General features: G+C 52.9%; 1 long non-coding RNA gene across 1 annotated transcript, besides 5 other annotated features; it reads left to right on the forward strand.

The window, feature by feature from the left end:
• Positions 1–228: 228 nt before the first annotated feature.
• Positions 229–5,465, forward strand: LOC105372228 (uncharacterized). The gene is made up of 3 exons (NR_188039.1): positions 229–340; positions 1,675–2,075; positions 2,694–5,465. It is a non-coding gene; the product is annotated as an uncharacterized LOC105372228 (long non-coding RNA).
• Positions 533–1,126: an enhancer, noted in NCBI's record as "H3K4me1 hESC enhancer chr18:77371029-77371622 (GRCh37/hg19 assembly coordinates)". NCBI's record gives its function as "activates a minimal SCP1, AML or CMV promoter by ChIP-STARR-seq in naive H9 embryonic stem cells {active_cell/tissue: H9 hESC(naive)}" and the evidence as "EXISTENCE:reporter gene assay evidence [ECO:0000049][PMID:30033119]".
• Positions 1,127–1,719: an enhancer, noted in NCBI's record as "H3K4me1 hESC enhancer chr18:77371623-77372215 (GRCh37/hg19 assembly coordinates)". NCBI's record gives its function as "activates a minimal SCP1, AML or CMV promoter by ChIP-STARR-seq in naive and primed H9 embryonic stem cells {active_cell/tissue: H9 hESC(naive and primed)}" and the evidence as "EXISTENCE:reporter gene assay evidence [ECO:0000049][PMID:30033119]".
• Positions 8,018–8,699: an enhancer, noted in NCBI's record as "OCT4-H3K27ac hESC enhancer chr18:77378514-77379195 (GRCh37/hg19 assembly coordinates)". NCBI's record gives its function as "activates a minimal SCP1, AML or CMV promoter by ChIP-STARR-seq in naive H9 embryonic stem cells {active_cell/tissue: H9 hESC(naive)}" and the evidence as "EXISTENCE:reporter gene assay evidence [ECO:0000049][PMID:30033119]".
• Positions 8,700–9,380: an enhancer, noted in NCBI's record as "OCT4-H3K27ac hESC enhancer chr18:77379196-77379876 (GRCh37/hg19 assembly coordinates)". NCBI's record gives its function as "activates a minimal SCP1, AML or CMV promoter by ChIP-STARR-seq in naive H9 embryonic stem cells {active_cell/tissue: H9 hESC(naive)}" and the evidence as "EXISTENCE:reporter gene assay evidence [ECO:0000049][PMID:30033119]".
• Positions 15,745–16,244: an enhancer, noted in NCBI's record as "H3K4me1 hESC enhancer chr18:77386241-77386740 (GRCh37/hg19 assembly coordinates)". NCBI's record gives its function as "activates a minimal SCP1, AML or CMV promoter by ChIP-STARR-seq in primed H9 embryonic stem cells {active_cell/tissue: H9 hESC(primed)}" and the evidence as "EXISTENCE:reporter gene assay evidence [ECO:0000049][PMID:30033119]".

Raw genomic sequence — 16,288 nt, forward strand, 5'->3', positions numbered from 1 at the left:
TACTCAGACCCCGGGCCTGGCCGTCCTTCCTCCCAAATCTAACCCTAGCCCTGAGCCACACCCCAGGTGTCCAGCTCTCTGGGTCAGGCTCCCTGAGCCGGCACCCTCCAGAATGTGCCTCCCTTCAGATCTCAGGCCAGCAGGAGGGCGAAGGACAGCACCGCCCCACCTTTTATCTGGGAGCTTGGCCAGGCAGGGGCTGGCCCAAGCAGCAAGAGCCTCCTCCTCCTCACCGCACCGTGGCTCGGAGGAGTTGCATCTTTTTGCCTCGGGAGCCTGGCGCATCGGAGCTTCCCTGCACTCATCCACGCGGGATGGTCACCTCCACTCCGGAATGGGCGTGAGTCGGGCAAAGGGCTCGGTTGGCTGTGCATATAAACTGGGCATGTGCTCTTGGAAATAAATTTATAAAATCCCCCGAGAAAGTAAAGTGGGGACAGCCGAGAGGGCCCCACACACCTCCTTATGGACACCCAAGGCTGAGGCAGCTCTGTTTCCAGCCCCTTCCTCACCGGACGCCAGGTTCACCCCAGGCCGTGAGAACCCAGGCCTGAGGCAGCGCAGCCAAAGGCCCCGATCCGGCCCAGAGCCGTGCCCTGATTAGGCCCAAAGGAGAAGTCAGGATCAGGAAGAGCAGAAAACATCTGAGCAATGAGACACGTTGGGAATAAAGCTCCCGCCCACCGCATGATAACAGGCAGAGTGAGTCACACGGACTGTGGGAATCTGTGTAGACGGGTTTGGTTTGTTTTCTTTGCTATTGTGGGGGTGTTTGTCTCACCTAATAATTTTCATTGTGTGCTAATTAGCACAGTGGGTTGGCCTGCATGGAAACTGCCCAGCCGGCCTTTTCTGTTTGTTATGCAAAGGTGTGAAGGGGCCCAGGACCTCCCAGGGTCAGGGGAGGAGCAAAATACCTCTTCCATGTGGGAAGCAGGCTGGCATGTCACGGCTGTGGCTACGACGCCGAGGAAGCAAACTGACACCGCTGCCCCCACGCCCCTGTGCCCTTCAGAGGGTGGCGCTGACCCATCGCCGGAGGGGCCCACAGGCCCAGGGATGGGCACTTTCCCAAGAAAAGTTGGGGTCCCCTTTGGCAGCTCCCATGGGTGACCAGGAGCACGGCAGCATCTGCAGGACAATGGGAGTGGCCTGGCTGCCCTGACAGCCTTCTTCCTTTGTTCCCTCCCTGGATGGGCCGAAGGGGTCGCCCTGTCTGGTATCTGCTGGATGACCAAGTTCCCTGAGCTAGAGCATCAGGCTGGCCTTCCTCTCCTTAAATAGTCTTCAGGACGGACACACTCCAGCTGTCACGCCGAAAGTAATGGGCCCAGGCTGGGTGCAGGGGCTCACGCCTGTAACCCCAGCACTTTGGGAGGCCGAGGCGGGTGGGTCACGAGGTCAGGAGATCGAGACCATCCTGGCTAACACGGTGGAACCCCGTCTCTACTAAAAATACAAAAAATTAGCCAGGCGTGGTGGCGGGCGCCTGTAGTCCCAGCTACTCAGGAGGCTGAGGCAGGAGAAGGGCATCAGCCCGGGAGGCGGAGCTTGCAGTGAGCCGAGACCGCGCCACTGCACTCCAGCTTGGGCGACAGAGTGAGATTCCATCTAAAAAAAAAAAAAGAAAAGAAAAAAGAAAGTAACTGCCCCAAAACTGTATTTGTCATGCAGGTTCCCAACCTCCAGAGGCACGTGACTTTAAAGACCATATCCTCACAAAATAGGATCAAGTAAAAGCTGCTCAGTGGTGAAGACGCGGAGCTGGACCAGCCCCGGTGCTGGGTGCAGCAGCCGCTGTGCAGGAGGCCGTGTCTGTCCTGTCCAAGAGAGTTGGAGTCAGAACCTCACCTGGAGCCCCACTCCTCCTAGAATAGAGGAACGGCCCAGGCCACACCCCAGCCGCACCAGTACAGCAGCTGCTTTGCAAAGTGGATGTCCGCAGGTGCTTCCAACGCATGTCAGAACTAAGCTGGAGCCCTGTCCACGCTCCTTCGTGCTCTGTCGGGAGGCTCCGCAGGAGCTGGCCGCTGGGTGGGACGCCAGAAGGTGGCTTCATCTTCCCCGCAGGCTGGGTATGCCCCTCACTGAGGGTCCCAGGGTTTTCTTCAAGCCTCTGTGTCAGAGCCAGTGGGCAACTGTGCTGGCTCTGCTCACCCTGCCCACGTGGGCACACATGGGCACACATGGGTACATGGGGGCACACCCGGCTACATGCGGGCACACTTGGGTACATGTGGGCAACCTGGGTATCTGCAGGCACACCCAGGTACATGCGGGCACACGTGGGTATCTGCAGGCACACGTGGGTACATGTGGGCACACCTAGGTACATGTGGGCACACTTGGGTACATGTGGGCAACCTGGGTATCTGCGGGCACACCCGGGTACATGTGGGCACACGCGGGTATCTGCAGGCACACGCGGGTACATGTGGGCACACCTGGGCACATGCAGGCACACCTGGGTACATGCGGGCATACTTGGGTACATGTGGGCACACATGGGCAGGGCAGCACTGGCAGCTGCTCACTGCCTGTCACAAGCCATGAACTCAGCTTTGACCTTGCAGGTATGCCAGGTTCAATTCAAAGGCATGCCGTGGCAATGTGTGTGTGCACATTGTACAAGCAATGTAGCTAGGAACAGTAGCTATTATTATCCTAAGGCTAAACATGGATTTTTTTTTTAGGTGAAAATTCAAAACCAAGGGAAATTACTGCCGTCAGGGTTGCGGCTTCAGCCAGAGCTTGCCTCCCAGTCTCACACTCATGCTCTCCTGTGGAATCAGGCTCTGCGATTCTTTTGCCCGGAGCAGAAAGGACCTGCGACACGGCCTGGGGAGACGGCTCCACCGTCTGAGGTAGCAGCAAACAAAGCAGCAGCATGGAGGGTCAGGGGCGAGGGGAGCAGTCCCGGCTGTCTGCTGGCTTTCTGCTTTCTAAGCTTTTATTTTCATAGGGAGGAGAGAGAGGGCGCCTGAGTCTGACAAGAGGGTCTCAGCTCCCGTGCTGGCAACTCTCCTGCCGGCCACAGGGACCTCCGGGCCATGGCGCCCGGCCGGCCTACTGGGTGACAAGCTTGGAGGGTGTGTGGAAGGGCCCAGCTGCTGTGAGGGTGCCGGTGTTCCCTCCCTCGCCTCCTGCCGCACCTGCTCTGAGCTGAGTTCTGCCATCACAGATGTGGGTTCGGCAGAGAGACCACCTGGCAATGAGGCACACGTGTCCGGATGGAGTGTCTGTAAGGGACGTTTGCTGATGACTTGCCGAGGCTATGGTAGAACCCGCCGGCCGTGGAAAGCAGGAGCTGGCACTGGCTGTAGCGCCCGGACCCCAGGCCTCCCGCCTGTGGCCCAGCTTCCTGGCTGCCTCATAGCTCTAAAGCAAACGCCCTGGCCAAAGAGACGCATCTCATCCCCAGCAGTCCCCAGCTCCTGACGCAGCATGGACCCCTCACTCGCTCCTCCAGGCAGCCCAGGGCCTATGGTGATAGAGCCTCTAGAGTGGCGGACCAGGTTCTGAGGGTCTTTAAAACAGTCACCAATGGGAAGTTTTGTTCACAGAAATTTAACATTGAGAAACAAATGGAAACATAACAGAAAAGACCGATTACGTTTCCCAAGTTGGAAAGAATCGGGTTCCATCTGCCCAGGAGAAACAGGCGTCTCCACGTGCTGGGAGTGGCGCGTGGGAAGTAGAGGGAGTCTCAAGAACAGCAAGCCAGGGGCGCTGACCTGCAGGGAGGGGCGCCAGGGGCCCAGGGTGGCCTCTCAGGTTCACGAACCAGGGAAGGGACCCCAGCAGACGTGGACTTGCCCACATCGCCCCTGGGGGAGGCTCTCCAGCCAGCTGAGGACATACCCGGGGCTCCAGCCCCATCCACAGCCTCCCTCCCGGTCCGTGAAGGATTGGTCTCACCCATGGCAGGAGGTTCTCACCGCGTGGCCTGTGGGTCCTGGCATGGGGTAAGTTCCCAGGGACTCTGCCAGTGGGTCTGCAGATCAGAACTACGTTTGTGACAAAGCTAAGTGACACTGTGTGACAATATGTCACTACTTTTGTGACAATGCCTTCTCCAGCGGGCGACATCTGCGAATGGCGGCTCCGTATTGGGCACAGGGCGGCAGCTCCACACCCTGCCTTCCCACCACCAGCACTTACTGTGCAGTAGAAACAATAGCTCCACTTTTAAAAGGCCCCCTGGGGCAGAAAAACTATCCGTTCTGTTCTATCTCAGCCTTGCACACAGCACAGCAGGGTGCATGGCCACAGGTGGGGCAGTACACGGGAAATGCAGGCAGAGTGCGTGGACCACACATGGAAGCTGACGGGACTGGGAGAAAGTGTGTGGCTGAGTCTGGAGCCACGGCCCCCACCCCCCAGCTACGTCTGTACCTGAAAAAACAACCAACTAGCCACGGTCATCGGGCATCGGGCAGGCATTTTCTTGAAAATGAGCAAAATGAGCCTGTTGCTTTAAGGTAAACTTGCAGTATTTGTTGCCAATAACAAAATTTGAGCTTTCAAGCAAAAATTAGAATTTTGGAAAACTTGTATCCATCACTGTGAGCTTCCCAGTCAGCACTTCAAGACTTTTCCGAGGAAGTTGGTGGTGATATTCGCAAATGTGACTTTTGATATTAAATAAACAAACACGTCAACATTTGGAAGCTCCACATGACTCGGTGAACTGACCTTTTCCAGATGACTGTTGCAGGATGCTACGAAGCCACGCCGGGTGAGAACCCACCCAAAGCGTGTGATCGCCTCACGTCACAGCCTGGCTGAGCGCAGAGCGCATGCACCATGGTCTCCGGTTCCACAGCAGCTCACCTTGAGGAAACCGTCACTTACCACGTGTTGCATAACCCCAAGAAAGACGACGCGTAATGATCCAAAAAGGCTGGTAAATAATCCTCTGTCCCAACTCAATGTCTGTGTGTGGCCAGGTTTTCTTCTCAATTTCAACCAGAGCAACAGTATCACAGCAGTTCAAATCAGAGAACCCAGTGAAAGGGGTTTGCAAAATGTAAGATAATGCCATTCTTTTTACTAAAAATATTACTAAAATTTTATCCTATATGTTAACACTTAATGGGTTTATTATTGCTGTTTTTAAATGGATCAGAAAAGGATGAAATGGTTGCTTTGCAGCAATGTGGATGGAAGTGGTGCCCATTCTCTTAAGTGGAACAGAAAGACAAACGCTGCATGTTCTTACTCATAAGTGGAGCTGAATCACGTGTGGACACGGAGTGTGGAATGACAGGCCGTAGAGTCCGGGAGGGAGTGGGGGGTTGGGGAGAAAGTACTTAACGGGTACAGCACACCTTATTGGGGTTCCCTAAAAGCCGTGGCTTCACCACTGTGCAATGTATGCCTGTAACAAAATTACACTTGTGCCCCATAAATTTACATAAATCTAAAATGTATAAGTAAATTTTGAAATGTAAACATAAATGAAGCCATAAGTATTTTTAAATGTCTCAGCTCTAATTGCTAATACGGTATACATATATATGTATATATGTGTATATATGCATATATGTATATACATACATATGTATATATTATATACATATGTATACACATACATATGTATTATATATATTTATACATATGTATTTATATATACATATACATGTGTATATATTTATATATACATGTGTTTATACATGTGTATATATACATACGTATGTGTATATTTATATATATATGTTTTTTGTTTTTGTTTTGTTTTGGTTTTTGAGATGGAGTCTCGCTCTGTGGCCCAGGCTGGAGTGCAGTGGTGCAATCTCAGCTCACTGCAAGCTCCGCCTCCCGGGTTCCCGCCATTCTCCTGCCTCAGCCTCCCCAGTAGCTGGGACTACAGGCGCCCGCCACCTCACCCGGCTATTTTTTTGTATTTTCAGTAGAGACGGGGTTTCACCGTGTTAGCCAGGATGGTCTCGATCTCCTGACCTCGTGATCCGCCCGCCTCGGCCTCCTAAAGTGCTGGGATTACAGGCGTGAGCCACCGCGCCCAGCCGCTAATACGGTATATTTTGAAGGTTATAATGCACAAAAACAAAAGCTCTGAGAGTCTTCAGTAATTTTCAAAGTGTAAAAATGTCCCAAGACTAAAACGCTTAAGACCCACCGGCGACTACAGCTTGGCACACGCTGGGGTTTCTGCCCATCTGTTGACACAGCCGAGGCCGCCCTGCGCCCACTCCGAGCTCCCGGGCCCTGCGTGTCTTCCCACGTGGAGGCCGCCGGGGCCCGGGCTGGGGACTCGGCCCCGTCTAGATTCTGTCCCGGCCTCTGGGCATCGCCTCTCGGGAGCCGGACCCCTCGATCGCCCGCGGCCCCTCTCAGCTCCCCCAGCACAGTCCGATCCGCGCGCGGCCCTGTCCAGGCCCTTCGCGATTTGGCCGCTTCTCCCCGCGTCCGGCCGTAGCTGGGAACACAGGGACCGGGGCCCCCGGGAAAGGGAGAGGACGCCCCAGGAATGACGGCGCTGAGCCCCTGCGGCGGGACAGGCTCTGAGCGTTTGTTTCATGGGATTGGAAAGAAAAGAACGTTTGACTTTCCCTGAACACCGGCTGCCTGTGACTCACGGACCTGAGGCCCTGGGAGGAGCCGCGGCCCCCGGATCCCCCGGAGAGGCCTTTCGGGGCCGCGGCCGGCAGCCCCGGCCGCCCCCAGCCCCCGCAACCTCCCCCCGTGGCCCCGAGAAGCCGGAGACCCTCCCCGCGGGACACGCGCCCCCCACTCAGAGCCCCCCAAGCTCCCTGGAGAGGAGGAATCCGCCGTCATCTGGTCCCGGGACCCCGCCCCCCCGGGACCCCGCCCCCCCGGGACCCCGCCCTCCCCGGGACCCCGCCCCCCGGGATGCCGCCCTCCCCGGGACCCCGCCCCCCCGGGACCCCGCCCTCCCCGGGACCCCGCCCCCCCCGGGACCCCGCCCCCCGGGACGCCGCCCTCCCCGGGACCCCGCCCTCCCCGGGACCCTGCCCCCCCAGGACCCCGCCCCCCGGGATGCCGCCCTCCCCGGGACCCCGCTGCTGCATCTGCCTCTCCAGGCTCGGCCATTCCCCGGGGGTCCCTTCCCGGTCTGTCCCCCACAGAACGTTCTCCCCCAGGCCAGGCCCAGGCTCCCCACAAGCGCCCCGCGACCCCTGACCCCACGGTCTGCCCTCGCCCGGGGCCGCAGCATGGGGGGCATTGGGGGGTCCTGCGGGGGTTGCTTGGCCGCGCCTGGAATCGGCCTCAAGGTCCCCCTGCGCCTCCCCGGTCGGCCGGACTCATGCGCTCCCCCGGAACCCCCGACCCCGCGCGGACAAGCAGCTTCCCAGAGGCCTCAGGAAGCCCCGCCCGAGGGTGTCAGCTCCAGCTCTGAGCGGGTCCCGCAAACGCCCCAGCGTGTTCCCACCGGTGACCCCGACACCCCAACACCCCAACGCCCCGCACCGCCCTCAGCAGCCGCGCCTTGGCCAGCGGGTGCCCCGGTGCCTGCGGCCTCTGACATAGAAAACGAGGAAGGAGGCGGGCGCGGTGGCTCACGCCTGTCATCCCAGCACTTTCGGAGGCCGAGGCGGACGGATCATTTGAGTTCAGGAGTTCAAGACCAGCCTGGCCAAGATGGTGAAACCCCATCTCTACTAAAAATACGAAAATTAGCCGGGCGTGGTGGCGGATGCCTGTAATCCCAGCTACTCGGGAGCCTGGGTTGAGGAGCCTCCCGGGCAGGTCCTTCCCCCAGCGCTCCGGGCCACGGGCCTGCGCGCCTGACGGGGACTCAGTGAAAAACAGCTGCGAACACGAGGCCTAGAACCAGCTGCACAGCGACGCCGTCGACACTCGAACCAACGCAAAGGGCCTGGCAGCTGCCCTAGCGCCAACTCCAGCCGGCCTCGCTCATCACGCACTCCTGGGGGGGTCCTGCCACGTCTCTTTACATGCTAACAGGATGACAGCAGACATTGTGTGAAATCAGTCAGTCTGAGCACACTGTTTACATGCTAACAGGATGACAGCAGACATTGTGTGAAATCAGTCAGTGTGAGCACACTGTTTACATGCTAACAGGATCACAGCAGACATTGTGTGAAATCAGTGTGAGCACACTGTTTACATGCTAACAGGACGACAGCAGACACTGTGTGAAATCAGTCAGTGTGAGCACACTGTTTACATGCTAACAGGACGACAGCAGACACTGTGTGAAATCAGTCAGTGTGAGCACACTGTTTACACGCTAACAGGACGACAGCAGACACTGTGTGAAATCAGTCAGTGCGAGCACACTGTTTACATGCTAACAGGACCACAGCAGACACTGTGTGAAATCAGTCAGTGTGAGCACACTGTTTACATGCTAACAGGACGACAGCAGACACTGTGTGAAATCAGTCAGTGCGAGCACACTGTTTACATGCTAACAGGATCACAGCAGACACTGTGTGAAATCAGTCCGTGTGAGCACACTGTTTACACGCTAACAGGACGACAGCAGACACTGTGTGAAATCAGTCAGTGCGAGCACACTGTTTACATGCTAACAGGACCACAGCAGACACTGTGTGAAATCAGTCAGTGTGAGCACACTGTTTACATGCTAACAGGACCACAGCAGACATTGTGTGAAATCAGTCAGTGTGAGCACACTGTTTACATGCTAACAGGATGACAGCAGACATTGTGTGAAATCAGTCAGTGTGAGCACACTGTTTACACGCTAACAGGATGACAGCAGACATTGTGTGAAATCAGTGTGAGCACACTGTTTACATGCTAACAGGATCACAGCAGACACTGTGTGAAATCAGTCAGTGTGAGCACACTGTTTACATGCTAACAGGACCACAGCAGACACTGTGTGAAATCAGTCAGTGTGAGCACACTGTTTACACGCTAACAGGATGACAGCAGACACTGTGTGAAATCAGTCAGTGTGAGCACACTGTTTACATGCTAACAGGATCACAGCAGACATTGTGTGAAATCAGTGTGAGCACACTGTTTACATGCTAACAGGACGACAGCAGACACTGTGTGAAATCAGTCAGTGTGAGCACACTGTTTACATGCTAACAGGACCACAGCAGACATTGTGTGAAATCAGTCAGTGTGAGCACACTGTTTACATGCTAACAGGATGACAGCAGACATTGTGTGAAATCAGTCAGTGTGAGCACACTGTTTACACGCTAACAGGATGACAGCAGACATTGTGTGAAATCAGTGTGAGCACACTGTTTACATGCTAACAGGATCACAGCAGACACTGTGTGAAATCAGTCAGTGTGAGCACACTGTTTACATGCTAACAGGACCACAGCAGACACTGTGTGAAATCAGTCAGTGCGAGCACACTGTTTACACGCTAACAGGATGACAGCAGACACTGTGTGAAATCAGTCAGTGTGAGCCCACTGTTTACATGCTAACAGGATGACAGCAGACACTGTGTGAAATCAGTCAGTGTGAGCACACTGTTTACACGCTAACAGGATCACAGCAGACACTGTGTGAAATCAGTCAGTGTGAGCACACTGTTTACATGCTAACAGGAGGACAGCAGACACTGTGTGAAATCAGTCAGTGCGAGCACACTGTTTACATGCTAACAGGATCACAGCAGACACTGTGTGAAATCAGTCAGTGTGAGCACACTGTTTACACGCTAACAGGACGACAGCAGACACTGTGTGAAATCAGTCAGTGTGAGCACACTGTTTACATGCTAACAGGACCACAGCAGACATTGTGTGAAATCAGTCAGTGTGAGCACACTGTTTACATGCTAACAGGACAACAGCAGACACTGTGTGAAATCAGTCAGTGTGAGCACACTGTTTACACGCTAACAGGACCACAGCAGACACTGTGTGAAATCAGTCAGTGTGAGCACACTGTTTACACGCTAACAGGATGACAGACACTGTGTGAAATCAGTCAGTGCGAGCACACTGTTTACATGCTAACAGGATCACAGCAGACACTGTGTGAAATCAGTCAGTGTGAGCACACTGTTTACGTGCTAACAGGACCACAGCAGACACTGTGTGAAATCAGTCCGTGTGAGCACACTGTTTACACGCTAACAGGACGACAGCAGACACTGTGTGAAATCAGTCAGTGTGAGCACACTGTTTACACGCTAACAGGACGACAGCAGACACTGTGTGAAATCAGTCAGTGTGAGCACACTGTTTACACGCTAACAGGATGACAGCAGACACTGTGTGAAATCGGTCAGTGTGAGCACACTGTTTAGAAACACAGATGGAGACAGCTGGAGCGTGTGTGGAGGTGGGCAGGGGGACTGCAGCTTTTCTTACAAGTGTCACAGTCCTATTTAAGCTCGTATGTTATTTTGGTAAACACTTGAAATAACTGTTAGAAAGGAAACCTACAAATCTGAGCACAGCAATCCCGTTAAAACCTTTTGGTCTTTCCCATCGCCGGGACGCCAGGTCCACGCTCCTGCAACCATCACTGCAAGGTCGTCTCTTGCTAAATCCGCGCCCCAAGTGTCCTCAGCCTGCAGCTGGCTCCGCAGTGAGTTGTGATTTTCTCTAAATACACGTACCCTGAACGAGTGAACAATCTGAGAGACGTGGGTACCTTTGCTGAGTACTAAAGCCAAGGTTGATTTGAAAGTTAGGCTGCTACAACCTGGCCAACACGGTGAAACCCCGTCTTTACTAAAAATACAAAAAATTAGCTGGGCGTGGTGGCGGGCACCTGTAGTCCCAGCTACTCGGGAGGCTGAGGCAGGAGAATTGCTTGAACCCGGGAGGCGGAGGTTGCAGTGAGCCGAGACCGCGCCATTGCACTGTAGCCTGGGTGAAAGAGCAAGACTCCGTCTCAAAAACAAAAAAATAATAACGAAAAGAAAAAAAAAAAAAGAAAGTTAGGCTCATTGATTCCCATCAGCCTTTGACAGTGGAAGGGAGGTCATTAAGGGCTGACTGGAGAAGAGTGATTTCCTGAATGGGTTGAAATAAATAATTTATTGCTGACTCTTGTCAACATCAGCCAGTCCTGCTCACCAGGCCCATCCCCTCCTCTGAGGGCAAATTCCAGTGGGGACTTAGGATGGCGGCACCGGGGAGACCAGGACACCGGGGACATCAGTTCTGCAGGCACAGCACAGCTGGAAGCACAGGGCTGGCCTCCCCGGCTGACCTCTGATCCCGGGGTCATCTGAGGCCCGTGTCCACCCCATCATCCTGCTGCCACACACAGGGGTCAAGCGTGTTCCTCACAAGTGTGGCCTGGTTTAGGATCATGGTGATAAAGGGCTCCGTGTCACCGAGTGGGAAGGACAGAGGGTAAACCAGTGTTCAGCTCAGTGCCCCCATTAGCCTCCAACGGAGACGTCACGGCGGCACGGGATCCATGTGGATCCATGTCATGTGGAAAATCCTATCTGGAGCAATACAGTGAGTGGGAATGTAACTGGGCACCCCTGCTCCAGCTGCCAGCAAGATCCTGCATACCTAGCAATTGACGAGACCTGCGCCTGCCCTGGAGATGATTTCAGGAGACTTTGCAGGTGCAACTGTATCTATCAGTAGCATGTAATCAGATGAAAAGTCCCAAATCCACCTGTAATTTTCACGAAAATAATAGGCAGGAATGAGAAGCCACAGGATGCCTCACTAGTGGGCTCATGGATCCTCTGCCTGGCTCCCGCAGCCGGCAGGCAAATGCCCTCATGCTGATACTCATTGTTAGTTAAATTTTCATTGCTTTCAGAGCAATTGCTTAGTTTTCATTGCTTAGAGAGGCCCAATTTAAGAAAGTTTCATATCCCCACATCTAAGTGAACAGAACAAAGAAATTGAAGAAATTTTAAATCTCTTTTTGAAAGATACCTCTACATATAAATTTAGACAGACTTTCTATTAAGCAAAAGTTGGCAACCAAAATTTGCATTAAAAAAACTTTAAACTTCACAATTTATGTTTAGTATTTACAAGTGAAGAAACTCTGCAACCTATGACCTCACAGCACTCCAGTCACCTAACAAGGCAGAGAAGCAGAGAATAGACTCTCAGTTCTCCTGCACTTGTCCCAGTGTCGTAGCTACAACCGAGAGCCTGAATAGACTGTGGGTTTCCACTCACACATGGCCAGACACCGTCCAAGACTCCGCAGAAACAGGCAAGCCCAGGCTCGTCTACTGCAATGAACCCAGCGTTGGTTTGGCATGAAGACCCCATCCTTTCAATGTAGATTATTAAAGGTCATTTTCTTCTGCTGCAATGAACCCAGCGTTGGTTTGGTGTGAAGACCCCACCCATTCAATGTAATTTATTAAAGGTCATTTTCTTCTACTGCAATGAACCCAGCATTGGTTTGGTGTGAAGACCCCACCCTTTCAATATAATTCATTAAAGGTCATTTTCTTCTACTGCAATGAACCCAGCGTTGGTTTGGTGTGAAGACCCCACCCTTTCAATGTAATTTATTAAAGGTCATTTTCTTCTACTGCAATGAACCCAGCATCGGTTTGGTGTGAAGACCCCACCCTTTCAATGTAAGTTATTAAAAGTCATTTTCTTCAGGGGTCCCTTCCTCCAACTTTAAATCTGGAAAACTAGAAAAGGTAAGACACAGACACCAACACTTTGACAATAGCAAATAGCTCTGGACAGCCTGAGGTCGGACGTAAGGAGGGAGAGGAATTAAAAAAAATAAAAAGGTGAAGCAGAGATGCAGAGAGGTAGAGGCTCCTCCTGCAGACATGGGGCCGAGGTATATACAGTAGGTAACAGAGGGGCTCCTGCAGACGTGGGGCTGAGGTGTATACAGTAGGTAATAGAGAGGCTCCTGCAGATATTGGGCCAAGGTGTATATAGTAGGTAATAGAGGGGCTCCTGCACACACGGGGCCGAGGTGTATACAGTAGGTAATAGAGGGGCTCCTGCAGATGTGGGGCTGAGGTGTATATAGTAGGTAATAGAGGGGCTCCTGCAGACACCGGGCTGAGGTGTATACAGTAGGTAATAGGCTCCTGCAGACACGGGGCTGAGGTGTATACAGTAGGTAATAGAGGGGCTCCTGCAGACACGGGGCTGAGGTGTATACAGTAGGTAATAGAGGGGCTCCTGCAGACACGGGACTGAGGTGTATACAGTAGGTAATAGAGGGGCTCCAGCAGACACGGGGCTGAGGTGTATACAGTAGGTAATAGAGAGGCTCCTGCAGACACGGGGCTGAGGTGTATACAGTAGGTAATAGAGGGGCTCCTGCAGACACGGGGCTGAGGTGTATACAGTAGGTAATAGAGAGGCTCCTGCAGACACGGGCTGAGCTGTGTACAGTAGGTAATAGAGAGGCTCCTGCAGACACGGGGCTGAGGTGTGTACAGTAGGTAATAGAGGGGCTCCTGCAGACGTGGGGCCGAGGTGTATACAGTAGGTAATAGGCTCCTGCAGACACGGGGCTGAGGTGTGTACAGTAGGTAATAGAGGGGCCCCTGCAGACATGGGGCTGAGGTGTATACAGTAGGTAATAGGCTCCTGCAGACACTGGGCCAAGGTGTATACAGTAGGTAATAGAGGGGCTCCTGCAGACACGGGGCCAAGATGTATGCAGTAGGTAATAGGCTCCTGCAGACACAGGGCCGAGGTGTATACAGTAGGAAGCAGGAACTGCAGGACACCCTGGGGCTGATGACAGTCATTGGGCCACATTTCAGGGCCAGATTTTCTGGGATTTTTGGGGAGGATGAGCTACATGCCTGGCTTTATGGATTTAGTCCATGGAATTTGCAACATGATTTTCCACAAGTCATTGGCCCTGCCGTTTAGACGGAAGGTATTGATAAGTAATACATTATTTATAAGCTCCGCTCAAAGGTATTTTCACATCTTTCTAGTCCTGGTGGAGACATTGATTTTCCCTGAATATATGAACAGTGCTTAGATTTAACCCCGCTCCAAGCTTTGTGCCCTGGTGAAGCTGGCCGCTGCCACAGCTCCAGGGTGTCACACTGCACATGGTCTTCCCCACCTTCAATGGTCACTTGGGGCTGGAGATGTGGCCTAACACTAGCCCAGTCTGACTCGCCTCCAGGCTCTGGCTTCTGGCACCTGGACAAGGAGACCCTCACTTTCATGGTCCCAAGGCACTGTCAGAAACCACTTTGTGGTGTCAGGAAGAACCAGTCTCAAGATAATGCAGAACAGGGAGATTAAAACAAGACCACGTGGTTGGTGACATCACTGAGCTGCTGGGTCAAACCATCGCTGAAGCCTTCTCTTCTGGATGTCAGCTACAGAAGCCAATAGACCCCCTTTGTTACATTATTATTTAAGTGAGTTTGAATTGTCAGCAATCTGACTGATACAGCTCAGTGAAAGTTGAAAGTTATAGTGTAATTTCCTAACACCTTGAAAATCCTGCCTAGGCTAAAGGAAGCACTGAATGGTGTCTTCTAAGGGAAGTCCTGCTGTATGGCTTGTAAAGATTGGCTATTCGCAGGTTCCTGCGAGGAGGAATTTCACTGACACCACTGTTGCGGCACTTATTTTTCTGTGCATAAAGACTACTAATTTAGGACTTTATATCCACCACAGAAAAGTCAATTTTATGAGACTGGTTCCTTTTTAAAGCCTACCTCTCTGCAGTAAGAGACTATTTAATAATGACAACAACAATATGCTTGTGAGAGCAAACGAGGGTTGCAGCTCCAATTCAAGAGGCCAACCATGGCTAATCTTGAAGATTTTCACTCATTAGCTTTTTAAGGAGCTGTTAACTGCAAACGTGGGACTCAGAGCTTCGGGGACTTTCCGTGTTGAGTGTTCCGCCAGCAGTGCTTGCATGTCTCAGCAGCACAGAGCTATTTCTGGGGAAAGCAGAAATAATAAACTCACTGAAAATACCCATGATTGATCCAAGCTTCCTCTTTCAAAGAAAAACCGGAAGTTCCTCCTTCCGTATTCTTGTGGAAAGCTTTGCAGGTGCAGGGCCATGCGGCCGGGGAGACTGGGGAGCAGCCCTCCTGCCGCTGACGGGTCAGGCCGGCTCCGTGAGTGATTAATTCCCAGGTCACATTTCTGTCCACAGCTGGGAGACGATGATTAAAACTTGAGTGTGTTTATTCCTTTGCATTGGAACTTGAAAACATCAATTTTTATTTCTTGGATAAGTAATCAGAAAAGTAAAACAAGATGAAAGAAAGGAGAGTTTGTGCTACGGACACAGTCAAAGACGTAGAAAGGCACAGTCCTGGAAGGAGTGTGGGAGCAGCTTGAGAGCAGATGGACGGAAAGAGCCACAGTGGAGGCAGCCCAGAGACACCTGGAGATTAGGGGCACGTGGCCCAGGCCACATTTCAAACCACAGGCAAGAGAATGGCTGATTTGATCCCTGGAATAGAGACCATTTTGGAAAGTTAATTTGGAAGCCTGTAAGATGCAAATTCCAAGCAGATTAAAGTTTGTAGTGATGGGGTTTTCTGTAGACAGACTTTTTCTAGATGTCCAAAGAGCTGATCGGGCACGGGGCTCCTGATCCGCCTGCCGGGCTCCACGGGAAGAGCCTCAAGGTTCCATTCGGTGCTGAGGCCGAGCCACACTTGCCTCTGGAGGGGCTCATCGCCGGCTGCATCTGCAGGCTGCTCTTGCAACGCCCTCACTGCAAAATGCAAAGAAGATCCACTCCATGTCCTGTCCAGCTGCCTCCGTGTCTAGAAAGGGGCCTGTCCACTTCATGTCTGAGTGACAGGGGCCTGCCCCTGACAACACAGCGGCCCGCATGCCACTGAGGAAAAGCTTCAGCGAGAACAGAGACACGTACAGGGTGCTGCCCAGAGGGGAACTCGGCTCCTGCAGGAAGGGCTGGTGGGACGGCTGCCGGGGCGTTTTGGAACATAAGCCACTCTGCGTGCGTCCCACACAAGCAATTTCTGCTGCAGCAAAGCACAGCCCTTCTCTAAGCAGGGCAACGCCGGCCACCCTCCTCCCTGCCACTCAGGCCCCGGCTCTCAGCCCAGCCACACACGCTGCAAACCCGTGGATGACATTTCCCCTTGCTTCAAACCTCCATCCCACTTTCTGGTTTTATTTTATTTTATGCATTTTATTCTATGTGATCTATTTGCAATCTGTTCTGGAACTAGGCCAGATTTTAATCAATTAACAAATCGGCTGCTTTAGAGTCTGGCAACCCCAACTTACCAGAGTCATTTCCAGGTGGATAAAGCCCCCAGGTACAGGGATTTGGGGAGAGATTTTGCAACGTTCTGTAGAAGTAATGTTTTTTACACTAACTTGTTAATTACAGA

Source organism: Homo sapiens, chromosome 18 (assembly GCF_000001405.40).
Source record: "Homo sapiens chromosome 18, GRCh38.p14 Primary Assembly".
Lineage (NCBI taxonomy): Eukaryota > Metazoa > Chordata > Mammalia > Primates > Hominidae > Homo > Homo sapiens.